At 42.5% G+C, this 18,981-nt stretch overlaps 2 long non-coding RNA genes across 2 annotated transcripts in view, besides 2 other annotated features; both read right to left on the bottom strand.

The window, feature by feature from the left end:
• Positions 1,182-4,195: an enhancer, noted in NCBI's record as "VISTA enhancer hs2286". NCBI's record gives its function as "enhancer in: other[3/5]" and the evidence as "EXISTENCE:transgenic organism evidence [ECO:0001131][PMID:17130149]".
• On the bottom strand, positions 1,602-3,849 carry LOC105375230 (uncharacterized). The gene is made up of 3 exons (XR_927168.3): positions 3,411-3,849; positions 2,944-3,113; positions 1,602-2,056 (listed from the first exon to the last, which is right to left on the bottom strand). It is a non-coding gene; the product is annotated as an uncharacterized LOC105375230 (long non-coding RNA).
• Positions 12,158-15,782: an enhancer, noted in NCBI's record as "VISTA enhancer hs1659". NCBI's record gives its function as "enhancer in: heart[9/9]" and the evidence as "EXISTENCE:transgenic organism evidence [ECO:0001131][PMID:17130149]".
• LOC401324 (uncharacterized) overlaps positions 12,421-18,981 on the bottom strand; it is a 62,622-nt gene continuing 56,061 nt past the window's right edge. The window contains exon 3 of the long non-coding RNA NR_038864.1: positions 12,421-15,862. This is a non-coding gene — a long non-coding RNA (uncharacterized LOC401324). The remainder of the gene's footprint in view (positions 15,863-18,981) is intronic.

Raw genomic sequence — 18,981 nt, 5'->3', positions numbered from 1 at the left:
ACCACGTCTGTGGAAACAGAGCACATAACTCGGGTCTGGGGCAAGTGTCATTTATGAGCCATAACAGAATTTTTACATTTCACCCCAGGAAATGAAATGGGCAAACTACTTATCTTCCTGACTTTTCTTAGGCCTCTTATACTCTGGCACATAGAAAATATATGCACATTATTTTCTCTGAAACTTCCTGCTACACTGAAATGAATAATCCCACAGTGTTTTTATTAGAAATAGTTTCTTTTTTAATAAAAAGAAGATCTAAGAATTCTCACCTGATGCTACTTCAATGGTATGTAAGAAGTTGAATTTGAAAGTAACCTTCCTGACCAATATTATTGCGTGAAGGCAGAAGCCGAAAAATAAAAAAAAAAAAAAAATTAAATAAGCATGGAAAACTCAGTCCTTATGAGATTTTGTCAATAAAAGAGAAAGGAGGTAAGCAACTGGTCACGTAGGATCTAACACAAAATTTGGGGTTCATGGTAAGGAGGAGCACTCAACGCTGAACATTCCTACCACAAGCATCAGTTTCATAAATTATGATTTTATTTTTATAGCCGTATCTTTCCTCCTGAAGCAATCGGGTCTCTGACAATGCAATTTCTATTTGCACAGGACATTATATCATGTCCTGTCATGATATCGTGTGTCTTCAAGGACATGATGTCACACTTCAGAATCAATTTTTCTTAATGGACATTTCAACAGCTCTTCCGTAAGCCTGGGATATCTTCTGATGGGCAGCGCACAGCAGAGGAATTGGAAGGGATCTGCACCTCATGGGGGTAAATATCTGCTTCTCTTTGGATTCAGTCATGTTGAGAACATTCTTTAAATCCCATTTCCTCTCGGATTTCCAGTTCCTCCATCTATGAAACCGTACGAAAAAATAGATTTGTAAAAAAAAGAAAGATTTATGAAAATCAACAAACATTTCCCGTAAAGGTCCAGGTAGTAGACATTTTTTGCTTACAGGCTCAACCCCACCTTTGTAGCATGAAAAACAGTCACCGATGATGAATAAATGAATGAGGAAGGCTGTGTTCCAATAAAACTTTATTTATGAACACTGAAATTTGAATCCCATGTAATTTTCCTGTGTTGGGAAATATTCTTCCTTTGATTTTTGCAACCATTTAAAAATGGGAATGTAAATTTGTAGCTCACACAGGTCATACGAATACAGGCTATGGGCCAGATTTGGCCGGCAGTCTGTAGTTTGCTGACTGCTGCTTTAAGAAAAGAAATCTTTGTGTATTGAAAAATGCATAAACTATTTTCACTTCAGCTTAATTCTTGTGCAGTATGAATCACTCAAACTTTGATTTCTCTTTCATGATGTCACTAACAACCCAGTGAGGGAATCATAAAATGAGGGTGGAATTTTCTTTCTCTCTAGAGGCACAGACACCCTCCCAAAGGAAAGAAGTCCAATTTGCACATATGCACACACGTTGGTAGACACATGAGCTCAACATGTGTATAAGCCACAGTGCAACATGAGAAGAAGTTAGATTCAGGTAAGAGAGAGGGTTTTTAAAAAAATGACCAGAAGCAGCAGGATTACCCTCCCTATTTAATAATCACAAAACGGGACTTACAACGCTTATCAAGCCATTTCAGCGGGGCCTGCATCATTTCACCAATTTCAACAAACTGTCCCAGCAAGGAGAAAGATTAGACTGCGTATGTTTATTCTCTGTGGAGTTATGACTGTGTTCTCTTCAAGAGAATGAGATATGGAAATAAAAGTTTACTTAGTTCAGTCTCCGATGGATTCTCATGACAGAGAAAAGTCACGTCATTTGCGCCCATGTGCTCAGGTGACTGGAGGTGGAGCTCTGCACAGCGTCCTTCTCTCTGGAGATGCAGATTCTTAAGTGGAGCAGGAATGGATAGTGAGAAGGGGCCCCATGCTCTCTGCTCCGGTTGTAACTGGGGCTGGAGAGAGGCCTAGGGCAGCGTCTTGCAAAACAAGGAGGGACCTGGAGATCAGCACCACAAGAATCCCATGAGGTTGGAACTGGAAGAGGTCCTTACAATCATTCCTTCCCACCTAGAAGGAAAGAGACAGTACTCCTGAGGGAGGAGGGTGAATGCCAAAGGCCTCCCAGGATTAGGAGACCCTGCAGGGTCAGACGGAAAAACTGAAACAAGGCAGACCAGCCCAGGTACCCTCTGCACTTTACAGGGGGTGGGGGATGGTGGGGGGTCAGAAACCAGCATGGTCTCCCTTGGCCACTAACGGTGATGGAGGTGGCCCCTGACCCCACCCAGTGACCAGGCCCCGTAGTGGTGAAGGTATGGAATATGGCTGTTGAACCCATTCACCAGCCAGGACCCAAAGCCTGCCAGTGTGCAGCCACTCAGCTACAAGTCAAAGGGCATGGGGGCTTCTTTCAGACCCATGGCGTCTTTCCACAGAGGGCTATTTTAGCAAAAATCTTAGGCTCAACACTCTAGTGGAGGCCAAACTTTGATGAGAACAGGAAACTAGGGAAATATGGAGAAATTTTTTTGAACCCTCAAGAGGCCAAGTGTGAATGCTCTACAGCCTAGGCAGGATGGGGGCCGATTTGACACTGTGGCGTCCCCCTCATGGAGGAGAGCTGAGAGCAGGTCCATGCCCAGTTACCCAACTCCACCAACATGGGGTGCAGCCAGACATACATAGCAAATGATGAGGCTTGGGGCCAAGACCCTGAGCATCCAGTTGTACCCTCACTGTCCCTCTATAGGCCTCAAGCTCCTCACCTGTGAGAGGCCTATTGCTGGATGAGATGACACTGGGCGCCGTTTGCATTGCTTTGGATTTCAGACAGCTCTGCTAATAACCACACGGAATGGGAAGGTAATGCCAACGAAGGGGGAAAACTGGCCATCTAGACGTATATATCTATACATCTTCATGCACATTGATTTTTTTAAAAAGCTTGCACTTACCAAGAACCTACTCCAGACTGGGGATTTATGTAGGTTTTCTTATTATATCCTCACAAAGGCCACATGAGAAAATAGAAGCTGAGAGAGACAAATTTGCCCAAAGTTATAAAGCCAGCAGGGGCAGAGCCAGTGTTTGAAGCTGGGTCTATTTGTCCAAATTCCCCATTATGCTGTAAGACAAAGATAAGATAAATCAACCTTTCATTTATTAAGAAAAAGGCTCACAGACAACAAACTTCTGTGTACTCTCGCCTACTGATTATGTGTCTTTCCTCTAATCTCAGGGGTAGGGACCAATTTGGTAGCAAAAATTTCCTTTGCAATCATATTTGCAGGGCATGCCAAGGAAACTCAACACCTATTGGGTGGGTCAGTGGGCACTGGACGAGGCAGGAGATGGGCTTGCCTAGAGCCTCATTTCAGGCTCTTTCCTGCCATCTGGGCTCTTCCTGAGCATCTGTCCGCACCTTGGCCTGAGCTGGCCATCAGTGGCCAGGGTCCTTTGCTTCCTGGGTTCACAGGCCATCTCCAAGCACTGTTAATGAAATATGTTATCACAAGGAGCCTATTGCCAGGAAAGACCAGATGGACAATTTCAATGTTGATGTACAGTTTTGTAGGGGGAGTCACAAGAGAAGAGAGAGGGAGAGATGATCCCAGCCTCAGCGGTTCATGTGTGCACGTCCATTGACACCAGATGCCTGGTGCTTCCAATCTGTTTCCCGCTGTCACAGGGAGCTGGTGAAGAGCTACAGCTGCACCGCCGTCAACCTCAGCAAGGCCTGAGGAGCAGCCACATGGCTGGAATCAAGCACTCTGGGGACTGAGGAGGTGGGAGTTTGTGGGAGAATGTGGCTGTGGGGACCCTAGGGGAATGCTTCTAGCCCCAGATTCCAGTTTATCTTGGGTGGAAAAGGAGTTCCCCTCCAATGGCTCAGCCAAGAATGTTGATGTCACAGGGAAAGGGAATAGAGTTTGATTGTGTGTCACACAGAACTGGGAACAGGCTGCTTAGAAGGACGCCCTTATCAATTAGGTAATGTCTGCTAATGATTGAGAAACTGTGTTATGCAGTGCTCCAGCTGTTGATGTGTTAGCAAATATCTGCGAAGGGCAGGATACCTTGTGGGAAAATGTTTTCTTAGACAGGATCTTACTGGCTGGAGCCCTAAAACACTGTTGTATCCGACAGCATTACCAGGTATCCGAAACAGAGCAACATGGCAGACATGTGGACTGGGCATAGGAGGCAGCTGTGGTTGGGATTTTGGTTTCAATTCCAGGAAATAAAAATGTATTTGTGCAGAAATGATGCCTATAACCAAATTTTCTTCCCCCCTTGCCTTTCTTCCTTTTCCCTTTATTTACTCTTCTTTTCTCTCCCTCTCTTCCTTCCTCTTTTCCTCTTTCTTCTCTCTTCCCTCCTTCTCTTTCTCCATCCCTCCATCTCTCTCTCTTCCTCTCTTCCTCCTTTTCTTCCTCCCTCTTTTCCTCTTCCTCCCTTCCACTCTTTCTCCCCTTCATTTCTTCTCTCCCCTTTCCTCCCTCCCTGCCTTCATTTTTTTTTCCTGTTAACATACCAACATTTAATGATGTTCACAATGTATAAAACACTAGGTGAGGTGCTAGGCATACAAAGATAGTAACAGTGCTTGTCCTCAAGGGAATTATAGCTACAGAGACAAAAGGAACATGTAAATTGATGTATGTAAAACATGTGTGATAGAATACAATGGTAGAAGTATGTAGCTCTACTGTAGCCAATGCCTATACTTTAAAAATTGTTGTAATAGGTTTTATTTAATGTTTTCTGTCTTCTCTCCTATAAAAAATAACACATCATATTTCAGGGTGGAAAACTTAAAAGACAAACAAAGTGCTTCCAATCTCACCAATCAGTAATGGAAATGTCTGAAAGAAAATACATATGTACATGTCTACACATGTGTAGACATACACATATTTTTCAAAAATGAGTTATTGCTGTTTAGAGTGTAGTGTGCTGTTTTCACTGAACATATTGTTGGCATCTTTCAAGGTTAACAAATATAGATGTACCACATAAGTTTTATTGATTATATAGCAGTCCATCAAATAGAGGATTCATAATTAAGTTTACCAATCTCCTGTTGCCAAAAATCAGTGTTCTGTTCCCAATTTGGGGATATCATTTTTACAAAAACATGGCAAGCATCTTTGTAACTAAATATTTACATGTTTCTCAGATTATCTCCTTAGGATAATTCCTAGAAGTGTAATTCTAGTAGAATTATGTATACGTCTTATGACTTTTTGATACATAACCCCACTACACTCCAGAGAGTTTATATTAAAGAGTGATGTTATTCTTTAATGTTTTCCAATTCAATAGCTGAAAAAATATGTCATATATATGATATATATTTAAATAGGTATATGTTGAATGAATATATCTGCTACAACTAAAAAGCCTCAAATATTTTAAATTTTTGCATTTGACTTTTGAGATGACAATTTTATCAATTTTACTATTTATTGTTTTAGTCATATATTTTATATATTAGTCTTTAATATTTTATCACATATATTAGAAATATTTTCTTAATTTGTCATTTACCTTTTAGGGTTTTTCCCCCTGTATAGAAGTTTTAATGTGAGGCAGTCGATCAATTATTTTCTTTATGGTTGCTGCTTTTGATACCAGATTTATAGACTATTTTCTACTGTAAGGTAATATAAATGTTTACATATGCTTTATTCTTATACTTTATCTGAAATTAATTTAGAATTTGTTATCACTAAGGATGTAGCATTGATCTTTCCAAATCATTAACCAGTTGTGAGGTATTATGATCAAGTGTATACTTAAAATTTGAAAAATCTATAATTATATTATGTTTCCCATTTTTAATGTTATTTATTTAATTTTTTAAAAATTAGGTTTTTAAATATTTGTTGGTCTTTTCAAATAATCAGCTCAGAATTATTTCTCAACTTTATTATTCTAAAATTATTAATTTCTGCCTTGATCTTTATTAAATTTTCCTTTCTTTTATTCTATTTTTAAATTTGTATAGCTTAATTATTTGAATTCACTATTGTTTTATTTTAATCGTTTGGTTAATAATTTTAAAACTTCAGCTAAGAATATTCCTTTCATGTAGCTTTGACCAAATTCCAAACATTTCATATGGCATATTTTTACAGACATTACACTTTGAATAATTTGTATCACCATTTTTTTTGCTCTTTGAAGAATTTTAGAAAAAAAAGTTTTACCCTTTTTTTGGGTAATAAGTAGTTTGAGATTTAATTTAAATTTTTGGGTAATAAGTAGTTTGAGATTTAATTTAAATAGTTGTTTTTAATTTCTGGTTTACTACATTGTGGCCAACTGCATGGCCTATAGATTTTATTTTTTAATTTTTGGAAAATCATGAGGTTCTTTGAGAAATTCTAGTTCCTAGTTGGTGTTTCATTTACAAAAGAAAGTTTACAGTTCTAATTTTTACTTGTTTCTCTCTCAAATATTTAAAGGAGACATTGGAATCTATTTTTTAGAATTCTCAAATAGTCATTCTCCTATTTCAAAAGAACTCTCTCAGCAACACTGTCCTGTTTCTTTTATCTTTTTTAATTAAAAATTTTAATTAAAAAATTAACATATCCTAGAGTACTTTGAGGAAGCATATATTTAATAGAGATGTAAGAAGATATTGTGAAATCACAAAGTGTCAAATGATTAACAACTGCAAAATCATTAGATTCTAGGGAGATTCCAAGTTCTAGAACAAAGATTCTGGTGATGCCCCAGAGGGTTACTGCAGCTTACACTATGGGGTGAACTGGGAGGCTCTGAGCCATCCTAAAGTGGTGATGTGTGCACCAACAGACAATTTTATTTCCATGTGTTTGTATACTTTTCAAACACAAGTATCCTCTTGTCATTGATTTCTTTTTCTTTTTTCTTTTTTTTTTTTTTTTTTTGAGACGGAGTCTCGTTCTGTCCCCCAGGCTGGAGTGCAGTGGCATGATCTCGGCTCACTGCAACCTCCGCCTCCCAGGTTCAAGCAATTCTCCTGCCTCGGCCTCCCGAGTAGCTGGGATTACAGGCACCTGCCATCACACCTGGCAATTTTTTGTATTTTCAGTAGAGACAGGGTTTTGCCATGTTGGCCAGGTTGGTCTCAAACTCCTGACCTCAGGTGATCCGCCTGCCTCAGCCTCCCAAAGTGCTGGGATTACAGGCATGATTTCTAATTTTATTCCACTGTGGTCAGAAAAGATACTTGATCTGATTCCTACTTTTTTGAATTTATCAAGACTTATTTTGTGCCCTAAGCTATGCTAAGCTGTGGTCTATTCTGGAGAATGTTTGTTCTGTGTGCCGATGAAAACAATCTGTATTCTGCTGCAGTTGGGTGAAACATTCTGTGAAAGTCAGTTAGGCCTGTTCCTTTTATCTTGTTGCTTTTCTTCTCCTTCTTCTTTCTTTTTTATTGTGGTAAAAAATAACATAAAATTTACCTTCTTAAATATTTTTTTTTTTTTAGACGGAATTTCGCCCTTATTGCCCAGGCTGGTGTGCAGTGGCCTTATCCCGGCTCACCGCAACCTCCACCTCCCAGGTTCAAGCGATTCTCCTGCCTCAGCCTCACGAGTAGCTGGGATTACAGGCATGTGCCACCACGCCAAGCTAATTTTGTATTTCTAGTAGAGACGGGGGTTTCTCCATGTTGATCAGGCTGGTCTGGAACTCCTGACCTCAGGTGATCTGCCCGCCTTGGTCTCCCAAAGTGTTGGGATTATAGGTGTGAGCCACCACGCCCGGCCTCTTAAACATTTTTAAGTGTTCAGTTGAGTAGTGTTAAGTTCACTCACATCGTTGCGCAATAGATCTCTAGAACCTTTTAATCTTGCAACACTGAAACTCCAGACCTACTGAATACTAAATCACCCCAGCCCTTGGTAACCACCTTTCTACTTCCTATTTCTATGATTCTCACTGATTTCCATACTTCATATGAATAGAATCATATGGTGTTTGTCATTTTGTGACTAGCTTGTTTCTCAGCATAATGTCCTCGAGGTTCAACCATGTTGTTGCAAGAATTTCCTTCCTTTTTTCAAGGTTGCATAATGTTGTCTGTATATCCCACAATTTCTTTAGCCTTTATTCTTCTTGCCTCATATAATGTGGTGACATGTCATGTCTTACCAAGTTCCAACCCTTTGACCCCACATTCCCACTATGTAGAATATAGTGCTTTTTTGTCCTTAGCTCTGTCCTTGAAGCTGATCTCCATCTTCAGAAGGTGGAGGGAAAGGAAACTAAGTGGATGAAAGAGGAAGGGAAAGACTGCGTACCTCATCCACTGATAATTTTTGACACCTCACATTAAAACCTGGATTGCCATTTTCTGTTTGTTGGTAATTGTATGCTATACTTTTGATTAAAGTTTTATTTTAATGTATTTATGTGTCTGTGTCTGAGGTTGAAATTGATTTCTCCATGCTATATGAAACTCTTATCAGATAAGTGTAATCTATTTATATTTGTTGTTATAATTCATGTATTTTAATCTGAAATCTGTTTTATTCTTTTGTGGTTTCTAATTTTCATACTTCCTTGATTTTCCTTTATTTTTTATTTTTAAATAAAGAATATATATTTTTTTCTTTTATTATTCTTGGTATATGTTCCCTTTTAAATTCCAATACCTAGTACCATTAAATTGTTCAGAAGCATTACTCATTTTCAAAAAGGTGAATGCAGTTTAAGCCTAGTGTTATCAACACATAGCTTATGTGGATTGCCCCTGGCTATAGGCTTTATTTACCGGTGATAGTTGATTCCTATTCTCAGTTCTATGGCTGAAAGTTACATTAATATTCAGAGCTTTAAATCCAGTTTCCAGTAATTCCCACGTTTTCACCAATGTATTATTGCCTGGTTGAGGAGGCATTCTTTCCTATTTGGTTCTATAATACTCTGAAACAGTGGAATATGAAAAAGCCACAACTTCATCAATGCATTGTCTTCAAGATTCTTGCCACCATCATCCCAGCTCTCCCTGTTTCTGGAGATTGTCACCTTCCAGAATGTCATAAGCCATCACCAGTCCTCTTTTTTTGCTTTCTGCTATCTTCTTTCTAAGAGTTGGTGGAGGAAGGGACATTGGTTGAGAACACAACTCTGGCTGCTTCCCAGGTCAACAGTCAAATGGAAAGAGGAAGGTGCAGCCAAGGGTTTGCGAATGTGGGAACTCAGAAGCTAGGATGGCCCTTCGGAGTCATCCAGAGTGGGGCACAGGGTGAAATGACATGGAATGTGTACTACCCTGAGAAGGGGCCATGACCCTGGATGAGGCAGCTGTCTTCAGGTGAGGCAGTCCCCAAGAGGGTCCAGTGGAGGCTGTGTTCTGGCGGAACTCCCAGCAGCTGCAGAATGATTTCTCCTGTGCTAAATGGGGATCCAGGTGGCACACCACAGCATCACCTCTTAATTACATCCTCAGTCATGTAAGTTGACATATTTTCTGTCTCCTCACTAGACTGTGAGCTTCTTAAGAGCTAAAACCATGTCTGTCTTGTTCAGTATACATCCCCAGTTCCTAGCATGACTTCTAATACACTCTTACTGAACATTCATTGAATAAATAAATGAATTAATGACACACATCTTTAGGTATGGGAAGGGGCTGAGGCTGAGAGTAGAGAAAAAGCTATAAAGAGAGAAAGAATCCCCCATCTCACATAATAAAGATGTTATAAGATGCAAGAAAACTATTAAGTGATCTTCAAAACCACAGAAAAAGACAGGTTAAAGAACATAGAGTAATTCTCTACATCCCATTTGTGAAATACAGCTGGAAATTGTGGGAAGAATATTTATGACCTTCAAGTCCAAAGAGGGACATAAAATAGTTGTCTGGTGCGATGATTTCCACCTTTCTGGGGTTGCAGCACACTCTCATCATTTTCTGACAGACCCTGCATCCAAATAAACCCTATAGCTTAGCATGTGTGAGTGTGTTTATTATTATGAATCAAAGTGAATTTTGTATATATTGAACTCTGTCTCAGTATATCCCAACGTTTTGTGCTATTGAAATATTTGGAAACACCTTGGAGCATCTAGAAAATCAGACTTTGGGAGACTGTCCTAGAATTTTAATCAGATGAGCCTGTTTGATTAAGGTCCAAAGGGACTGTGTTTGGCTTTGCTGTCTTTTATTCCATAAGCAGAGCTGCTCTCTCTGCTGTGAGGGTCTATGGTATGCTCAGTTGCTGTTGGAACCTGGGTCCAAACACATTTGCTTCTTGCTTTCTCTGCTCCCAAACCTAGTCCTTTCTCCTGAAAGACAAATTCAATAAGCAAAACAAAAAGAGGCCATAAAACTGATAAAGATGGCAAAAGCCCAAGGAGATTCCCACCGCTCAGGGTGAGCTCTGGGCAGATCGCCCCTGCCTTACCAGCTGGGGACTGAGCTGTGAAATGCAGCACACACTCCATCTGAGCCTTCTGCAGAGGGAGATAGCACTGTGCCCCCCCCACCCCCACAGTGGGCCAAGGATGGAATGGCTTTTCCTGACTGGGAGTGTCCTCATCACAGACTTTTGCTCAGGCATCATTCTTCCTGGCTCCATGGCAAAGTGCAAAGTCCACAGATGCTCATCCTAAAGAGAAAGTCCCTTGTTTGCACTTCCCTGGGGTCCCCGCCACTTCTGAGAGGAAAGCCACTATTGTGCATCGAGTCTCTGGTTTGGTTTAACAACTAGTCCCCAAGCACACCTGTGGGTAGTTATGATTATCTCCATTTTATGCAGGAGGGAGTTAAGGTAAAGAAATGGTATGGACTTACCCAGGGGTATTAGCCAATAAGTCGCTGAGCTGGGATTTATTGTTATTTTTTGGTCATTTGTTCAGCAACTCTTTATTGGGCCGTCATTCTGTACCAGGCCAGGGAACTTTGGCATTGCTATGTAATCTCTCTGGAGGAGCAGCCATCACTACCTGCCCCCATGTGTTGATATAATAGCAGTAGCTGGGACCCTCCAGCCTGTGAACTTTAATGTTAGCCTGTAGAATCCCCTGAAACTTCTTCTGGGGGAGGGAGAGAGGGGAAAGACTGGCATTCTCAGAGGTCTTTGCAGCATCCTAAGCTAGGACTCTGAAGAAAATACCATTCAGCCATAGGGCCCCTCTGTGAGCTGGCCTTCTGCAGACCCAGTAGAGACCTGGCACTGGCACATCTCACAGTTTGTATCGTGGCAACTTGGTATCTAGGCCAGGCATCAGTTGGATGATAGCTAAGCCAAGTAAAGTCTGTCATCTCCCATGGAACCTTGATTGGAGATTCTGCCCCAGATTGTTCCTGAAGTTATGCATGTATGTACATGTGTATGCATATGGCGGCATGGATCAGTTCGTGTGTACACGTGTGTGTATACCTCTGTGTGCTTGGTACTTTCATGTGTGTGTTGTGTGTGCCTACCGTGCCTACTGTGCCTTAGGAGTTCCCTAACATGGCAACTGAGCATCAGATTTGGAAGGCCATTTGGAAAGCAATAAACGTTTCTGGGGCTCTACCACCCATTGACTCTCAAGCCATTTGGAAATAATAATCATAATAATAGTTAACCGAATAATAGCTAAGCTAATTGACCACTTAATCTTTTAAGTACTACTCTAAGCAACTTCACAAGTGTTAATCCTTAATTCTCAGGACAACCCTATGAGGCTTGAACTATTGTTACTACCCTCTCTTTAAAAATGAGGAAACTGAGTCCAGCAGATCCCATGCTCAAGGGCCCGCTGTGTGTAAGCTGCAGAGATGCATTGGAATTCAAGCCATCTGGACTCGGAACTTGCCCTCCTCATCAAGACTGCAGCCCCAAGCTTTACTGAGTTACCAAAGCCGTCTTCCTTTATTTGTTATGGCTCCAAGATGTGAGTTGAATGTTTGAGCTCAGAGATATTTTCCAGGTAAAGGAAAGGTGCCTGAGTAACCGTGGAAGACAATGCATGACAGTGGGTCCAGCCAGAGCCTCCAAGGCCACTGCTGCCTGCTTTGCTGCTGTCACCGGAGGAAGCAGGCAGCATTGGCTTCAGTGGCGGAGTTGAAGCATCTACAGGAGGTAGAAACCACAGAGGTGAGATGAAAACTGATCAAGAATGGCGGCATGGGAAACCTGGAGAACCGAAGACTCTGTGGAGGCCTGGGCACCCGCTGGTGCAAACCAAGTCAGGTTTCAGGCAGGCTGGGAGGCAGCACCGCGGTCTCTGCAGAGCCAGGACCTCTGGAGCCTCCGTCTTCCCTCATGGCCACACCTTCCTCTTGTAGTGGACAGTTGCTTCTGGAAGCTTCCTTTGGTCAGTTTGCAAGGAAAATCAGGACCCAAGAGAGGACCTCGGCTGCTGAGGGAATTGAAAAGGGGAAACTGCATAAACATTTTTGTACTTTAGTTTTAGAGAAAATCATACTGAGACTGAAAAAAAATTCTGGAATTTTTATTTCAATAAACAGGAACAGTTTTTCCATGAGCTCTGCTCAGTTCCCCTCACACTAGTAAAATGTAAATCTCTAAAAAGCACACACACATAGCCCCTAGCCTAACTAAATATACAAAAGGGCTTTTTGCTCAGAATGAACAGTGACTCCTTCTTCTGTCCCTCTCTGAGCCAGGTGGCTGGGGTGTCTTTTCCAGGCCCCTCCACCAGGCACTCTGGTACAGGCCACAGCCTGTGCAACTGTCCACAGCAGCCCCTCCTGATGCTCACTCTCTCAGACAGTCTGCAAGTGGAAAACACACATCCTGTCCATGTGGATTTATTCATGTTTCCCGTATCAGTAAGGAGATGGAGCTATAACACATTAAATATTTACAATTACCAGAGAAAAGGCAGTACACAGCACTGAACTGAGATAAGAATACAGTTTCAAAATATTTACAATGAACACGTCTTGCTTTTTCTGGTTCTTCTCTTTGGTCTGGCACTTTAGGTCTCTGATCTCTTTATTGTATTTTCTTTCCAGGTTCCCTGTAATTTTGAAAATGTTTGACAGAGCCTCCTAAGTCTGAGGAGGATTGCTGTGTAAGTGAGAGACATTTGGGGAGTCTGGTTCCTGTGTCTCCAAGCAAGAGGGCCTTTTTTGGAGCCCCCTTTATGCTGATGTGTGTGTCTCCTGCTTATGCCCGAATCAAGTTTGTGGCTGGTTCTATCTATGGCTCTACCAAAGACAGCACCAGCGAGAGGAAAGTGGCAGGCCCCTGAGCTTGTGCTAACCAAAATAACTTATTTACACTGGTCTCTTGAACATCTCAAGGTCTTTTAGACAGCCGCAGTTAACATGGAGCCAGGAATGCATTGGTTTATGTTTCCTTTAATTAATTCGACTTTAAAGTGTTCCACATTATTACATTCAAAAGTAGCTCCTTCGTTGTGTTTGATTTTAATCTCCATTCTTTGAAAGATCTCACTCTTTCCTTTTAGGCCTTGAAACAGCCAGTGACCAAAACCAACAGAGATTTGACCTGAATGTGTTACATTAGCAACACCAGGGAGAGAAAGACAGGAAAGGTATTAAAAATTTGGCTCCTTGTTTAATTATAAAGAATGCAAAAGAAGCATCAACTGTGAAATATTTGGCTATTCAGAGAGATTAAAGACCTCCAGCTTTTGGAATAGGGTGCCAGAGAATTATCAGGATCACAGGCGTTTTATTTGATGGGTGCCATATTTGACCTTGAAGCGTTGAGGCTGGCACTCCTTTGTGTCCTGGGGATCTCCTGATGTCCTTGCTCCCCGGCGGTATCTGCCCTGGGGCCTCTGGAGGCCTCACCGTGGAGTATGAGGTTGCGCACGTTGCTGGTGTATATTTATATCGAGGTGGCTGTGTTGCCAAGGAGCTCTGAGAGAAAGCAGAGCGGAGATAACTTCTAATCCACCTTTCTGTGATAATGTGGCGCAAAGTGAAGAGACCCAGGGCTCCATCCTCTGGTCTGGCATCGCCCTGGGAGGGGTGGGCCCTCGGGGTGTTTTTAGCAGCCCCAGTGCACTGGCGTGAGCTTCTGCATTGGAAACAATGCATTTCTGAACTCTGTGCAGCAAATAGAGAAGACTGGGATTGAAGAGGAGAATGAAAGCAAACCGTAATTCGTAGGTAACAAGAAATGTATTTCAGTGTCCATTCCCAAGATTTGGACAGTGGGAGATTAGAATCTGGGAGCATTGGAACTGGCAAGGAGCCAAGAGGGAATTGGGAGTAGAAGGAGAAAGTCACTTGCCCAAGATCACAGCGGGAGCTGGCAACAGGGGGGCTGTGGAGGCCAGCTGTATTAGTCTGTTTTCATGCTGCTGATAAAGACATACCGAGACTGGGTAATTTATAAAGGAGAGGGGTTTAATGGACTCACAGTTCCACGTGGTTGGGGAGGACTCACAATCATGGCTGAAGGCGAAAGGCACTTCTTACATGGCAGCAGGCAAAGAGAGAGCGAGAACCAAGTGAAAGGGGTTTCCCCTTATAAAACCATCAGATATCATGAGACTTATTCACTACCATGAGACAAATATGGGGGAAATCACCCCCATGATTGAAATATCTCCCACAGGGTCTTTCCCACAACATGTGGGAATCATGGGAGCTACAATTCAAGATGAGATTTGGGTGGAGACACAGCCAAACGGCATCACCAGCCTGGGGCTCTTTGTACCACATTCCGCATATTTAGGGGGCTCCTAAACAGGAGTGAGTTTCTTTTCCTGACACTTTGAAGCTGACCCACAAGGAGCCACTCCCTGAGGATCCTTTCTTGATGGGTCATGAGTTCCACCATTTTAGGATGGGTAGAAGGGTCTGGAGATCTGCATAGGAGTGAAGACAGAGGAGAAGGAAGAGGGGTTCAGTCCATCTTATGCACATAGGTTATGTACTAAGATGAAATGTGGTGGAGCCCATACAGCCATGTATCTGGTGTCAGATAGACTTGGCCTTGCATCCTAGGCTCGCCCATGCCTGAACTTGGGTGACTCATTTAAGTTTGCAGTACCTCTGCTTCCTCATCTTTAAGATGAGAATCAGGATACTGTTGTGATTTGAATGTTGTATGCCCCTGAAATTCATAGGGTGATATATAATCACCAATGTGATGATATTAGGAGGTGGGGCCTTTGGGAAGTGATTAGGTCATGAGGGTGGAGCCCTCATAAATGGGACTAGTGGCTTTATAAAAAGAGGCCCCAGAGAGCTGCCTTGTCTCTTCTGCCAAGTGAAGGCACAGCAAGAAGATGCCTTATTTGAACCAGAAGTGGGTCTTCACCAGACACCAAATCTGCTAGTGCCTTGATCTTGAACTTCCCAGCCTCCAGAACTATGAAAAATAAATGTCTGCTGTTTATAAGCTGCCAGTTTCTGGTATTTTTGTTATAGCACAGTTCTATACTACAGTAAAGCTAAGACAGTCACCTTCTTCACAGACTTGTGTAAACTCATATAAGAAAGTAGACATGAAAATCCATCGTGATAAAAAAATGTGCTTTATAACTGATTCCTGAGGAATTGGTCTTCCATTAATAAGCATCATGTAGTGATCACTGGTCATTTTGTATCCTTGCCATTCTTATCTTTTTCGACTTCCTCCAGATCATTTCTCCACTTCAGAAGTTGCCTGAGGTGTGAACAGGGGACATGGGCTGGGGTTGATTAAGGCAGAATCAACTGGTGAGACTGGCTGATCATGTGTGTTTTCCCACCATAGATGCTGCCTCTTGCGTTCATACAAAGTGCTGTGAGACAGTATCTTCCAGGGACAGACCTTCCTTATTGGGACCTAAACAGATGCCCTTCGAGGTGGAGTGGAGAAGAGCCAAGGAAGCCCCAGGCCTTTGGCTTGAATTTCTGGTGTCTTCATTTCTTCGTGGCACAAAAATCCCCTGGAACAGAATATCTTTTCACAAGGAATTTTAATCAAAGTCGGTGGAATAAGAAAAAAGAACACAGGAATTATTCACTACATAAAAGCAGCCACACCAGCAAATCAGCCCTGACTGGCACTGTCTCTTTCTACAGCACTGGGCCTGTAGGGACCTGTGGGGATAGGATTGATAACTCAGTTTAGTGCAGGCCCAGCAATTAGACAGGATCCTTCACAGGCCATGAAGTGGTTTTGTGTTTTGTATGGAGAATATACTCTGAGAGTTCCAGCTATGACATGACCCTATACTTAATCTGGCTGATGGCCAAGGTCAGACTGTGGTGTGAGCAGAATAACCCTCTTGATCTATGGAAATCAGCAGTATCTTCCCATGAGCAGGCAGACTAGGGGGTCTATCACTAGGGCCTCCTGAGTGACCAAGGGCCTCCTGGACTACCAAGGGCCCTGATGAGCTGTCCTGGAGACTGTTGGGCAATGGCGGTCTAAACTTGGCCATCAAGAGTGAAAGAAGAGAAACTGTTGTCCTCTGAACAATAAACAACAAGATGCTGACTCTGAGCTTTTGCCTTTAGGGAGAATGCCTTCGCACTTCTAGCCACTTGTCTAAAAGTCCCACGCTCAAGCCTCAATCAAGTTTTTCCTCCTCCATGGACCCAATTCAGCCAATAAATATTTAATGGGTGCATATTAGTTGCCCAGAAGGGTTTTAACTCAAGCTGACCTGCTCCGAGGCTGAGTAAAAGCCTTGGTTTGGGTGGATTCCCATGTAACAGGGAAATACTGGAAGAGCAGCAATGTCATGATCCCTGGTTATTGGTCCATTAGGAACAAGGCTTCAGGCAGTGTCTGGGGGGGCGGGGGGACAAGAGACAAAGTATGTGTGTCCCATCTCTTGCTATTCAGAGAAGAACTTGGATATCTAGGCAACTCGAGATGCCAGGACCACAGCCTGGCTCTAGTGCAGGATTTTCACACCAATGGAGGATGCAAGTGTGGGACCAGAAGCTGGGCAGGAGGTTTGCTGTGCAAATGGACCATCTCTGACGAGCTCTAAGAAGGCGCAGTGAACAAATCAGTACTCAGAGGACAAGATTCAGGCCTAGGGTCCAGGACCATCGTAGTCCCCACCAGGAATGACCCTGGACCAAAGTACAGCTGGGCTTACAAGTGGAAGCACTGAGGTCTTTAGCCACAAAGGAAATGTCTGGGTCTCTTCTCTTGGCCTTCCTAGATACCACCCTAGTCCAAGTTACAGCTCAAGGCCACCTCCTAAAAACGAAGTTTTCTTGGTGTCTCCCAATCACAGAGACCTCTTCCTCTCTTGATTCCCTAAAGAGATGTCCATCTATCTCACTCACATTGACCCAGAAGAATATCCTACTCAATTTCCTCTATCTCTGCATCTGACCTGAAGCTACTCAGGGAGGAGTCAGTATTTACTCCCAGTTATGGTGCCAAACACAGGCAGGTGCTAACTAGAACACCCATGAAAAATGTCGGCACATCACACCTCACCCCAAAGTTACTCCACATCAAGTGAAATACTTTCCAGCTCCTCACCACCACCTGCAACACAGTGCATGCATTGGAGGTCCTGGCTTGTCCAGACTCCAGCTCATGGGAGCTACCCTGGTGGGAGATTCACAGGCCTGCTTGGCCAAGAGATGTGCTGGACTGAGCTATTCCAGGCTAAAGAGCAGTGGAAATCTTGCTCTTTTATTAGAAAAATTCTTGCGAGTTGGCCTATTTTAAGAAATATGGTTTGCTTAATGACTTTTCAAAAGCCAGTTAAAAGGGATGGAAAATAATTCAGAAGCATTAAAAAAAAAAGACAGAGATTCTACTGGCAATATTGCTTATGATTGGCACTTGCCTTTCTTGCAGATTCGTTCTTGACTTTGCATCCTGTCCTCAGAGTGATATTCTGCCAACCAGACATTGTCACCTGCTAGGCGACTCACTCAGGGCTCCTTGGCTCTGTCTGGAAAATCTCTCCTTCTTTTGCCCATCCTTGCTTCCCATCCCCCTCTCCCAGCTCAGAGCCTTTGTTGATGTTGACAGCTCATCCCTGGGCCATCATTCATCCTGCCCATGGCAAACTTTGGAGAAAATAAAAAACCCTGCTCCCCTAATCTCATTAGAAGGGCTGCAAATTGAATTTAGCCCCTCTCAGTGTCCCCTCAGCTGGCTGTCATTAGGAGCAGAGGCTGGGCCTTGGCTGATACCCAAAGACCAGCTAACTGAATTTGAGATGCTGTGGTCTTGACAGGCCAAGAGAGGTAATTGAAGAGCCGTGGGGCTCCTGGTAACATTTCAGGCTGGGATTACACTGGGGATCTAAAACCCCCATCTGCATTGGTGTCGGGGGCACTAAAAAGTCACCCATTGGGCTTCCAGGGTCGGATTATTGATAAAGAGATCATTCCCAGTGGAAGGTAGGGTGGTGGTGGTGGGGGAGACTGCATTGGTTACAATGCAAAATGGGTGTCAGAGGTGGAGGGAAAGGGACAGTGTATCCAGTGAGAGTCAGCAAATTACTCAAAGTTAGAAACAATTTGCAGGAAGTGTTGTCTAATGAAAAGAAAAAGCAGTCTGGGGAGAGTAGGTGATGAACCTATAAAATACAAGGAAAAGAAATACTCGGTTTTAATCTGTGGGCATTATTGGTCTGTTTGTATAAATCTTAATTTTTAAATTCTTGAATCATCATAGCTTTATTTCTCATGTCAACATTAAACCCCAAGCAGAGAGGGGCTTTTTGTGGTCAAAAAACTATATTTTTATTTTTGAAAAATGTACCAAAAAACTGCATATAACATATATGCAAATAAGAAAGTATTTATATCCATATAACAAAAGTATATCCATATAACAAAGTATTTAACAGAGGTTCACGTGGAAGACATGTCTCTACTGATTTGGAGTTCTGAGGTTTCTTTAGTTCCCAGACCTATCGTAAGTGTCTCAGTGAGGCTGAAAATTCCATGAAATCCCGTCTTAAAGAGGAGGAAATGAGCAATAATTAACCACCTACTATGTGCAAGGCATGGTTCTAAGCCTATTATGCACATCGTCTAACTTAGCGTTCACAGCAACGGAACAAGACAGGCATTATCC

Source organism: Homo sapiens, chromosome 7, assembly GCF_000001405.40.
Source record: "Homo sapiens chromosome 7, GRCh38.p14 Primary Assembly".
In the NCBI taxonomy this organism is placed as follows: domain Eukaryota; kingdom Metazoa; phylum Chordata; class Mammalia; order Primates; family Hominidae; genus Homo; species Homo sapiens.
The sequence above is the reverse complement of the archived record's forward strand: the minus strand, read 5'-3'. Positions and strand labels throughout refer to the sequence as shown.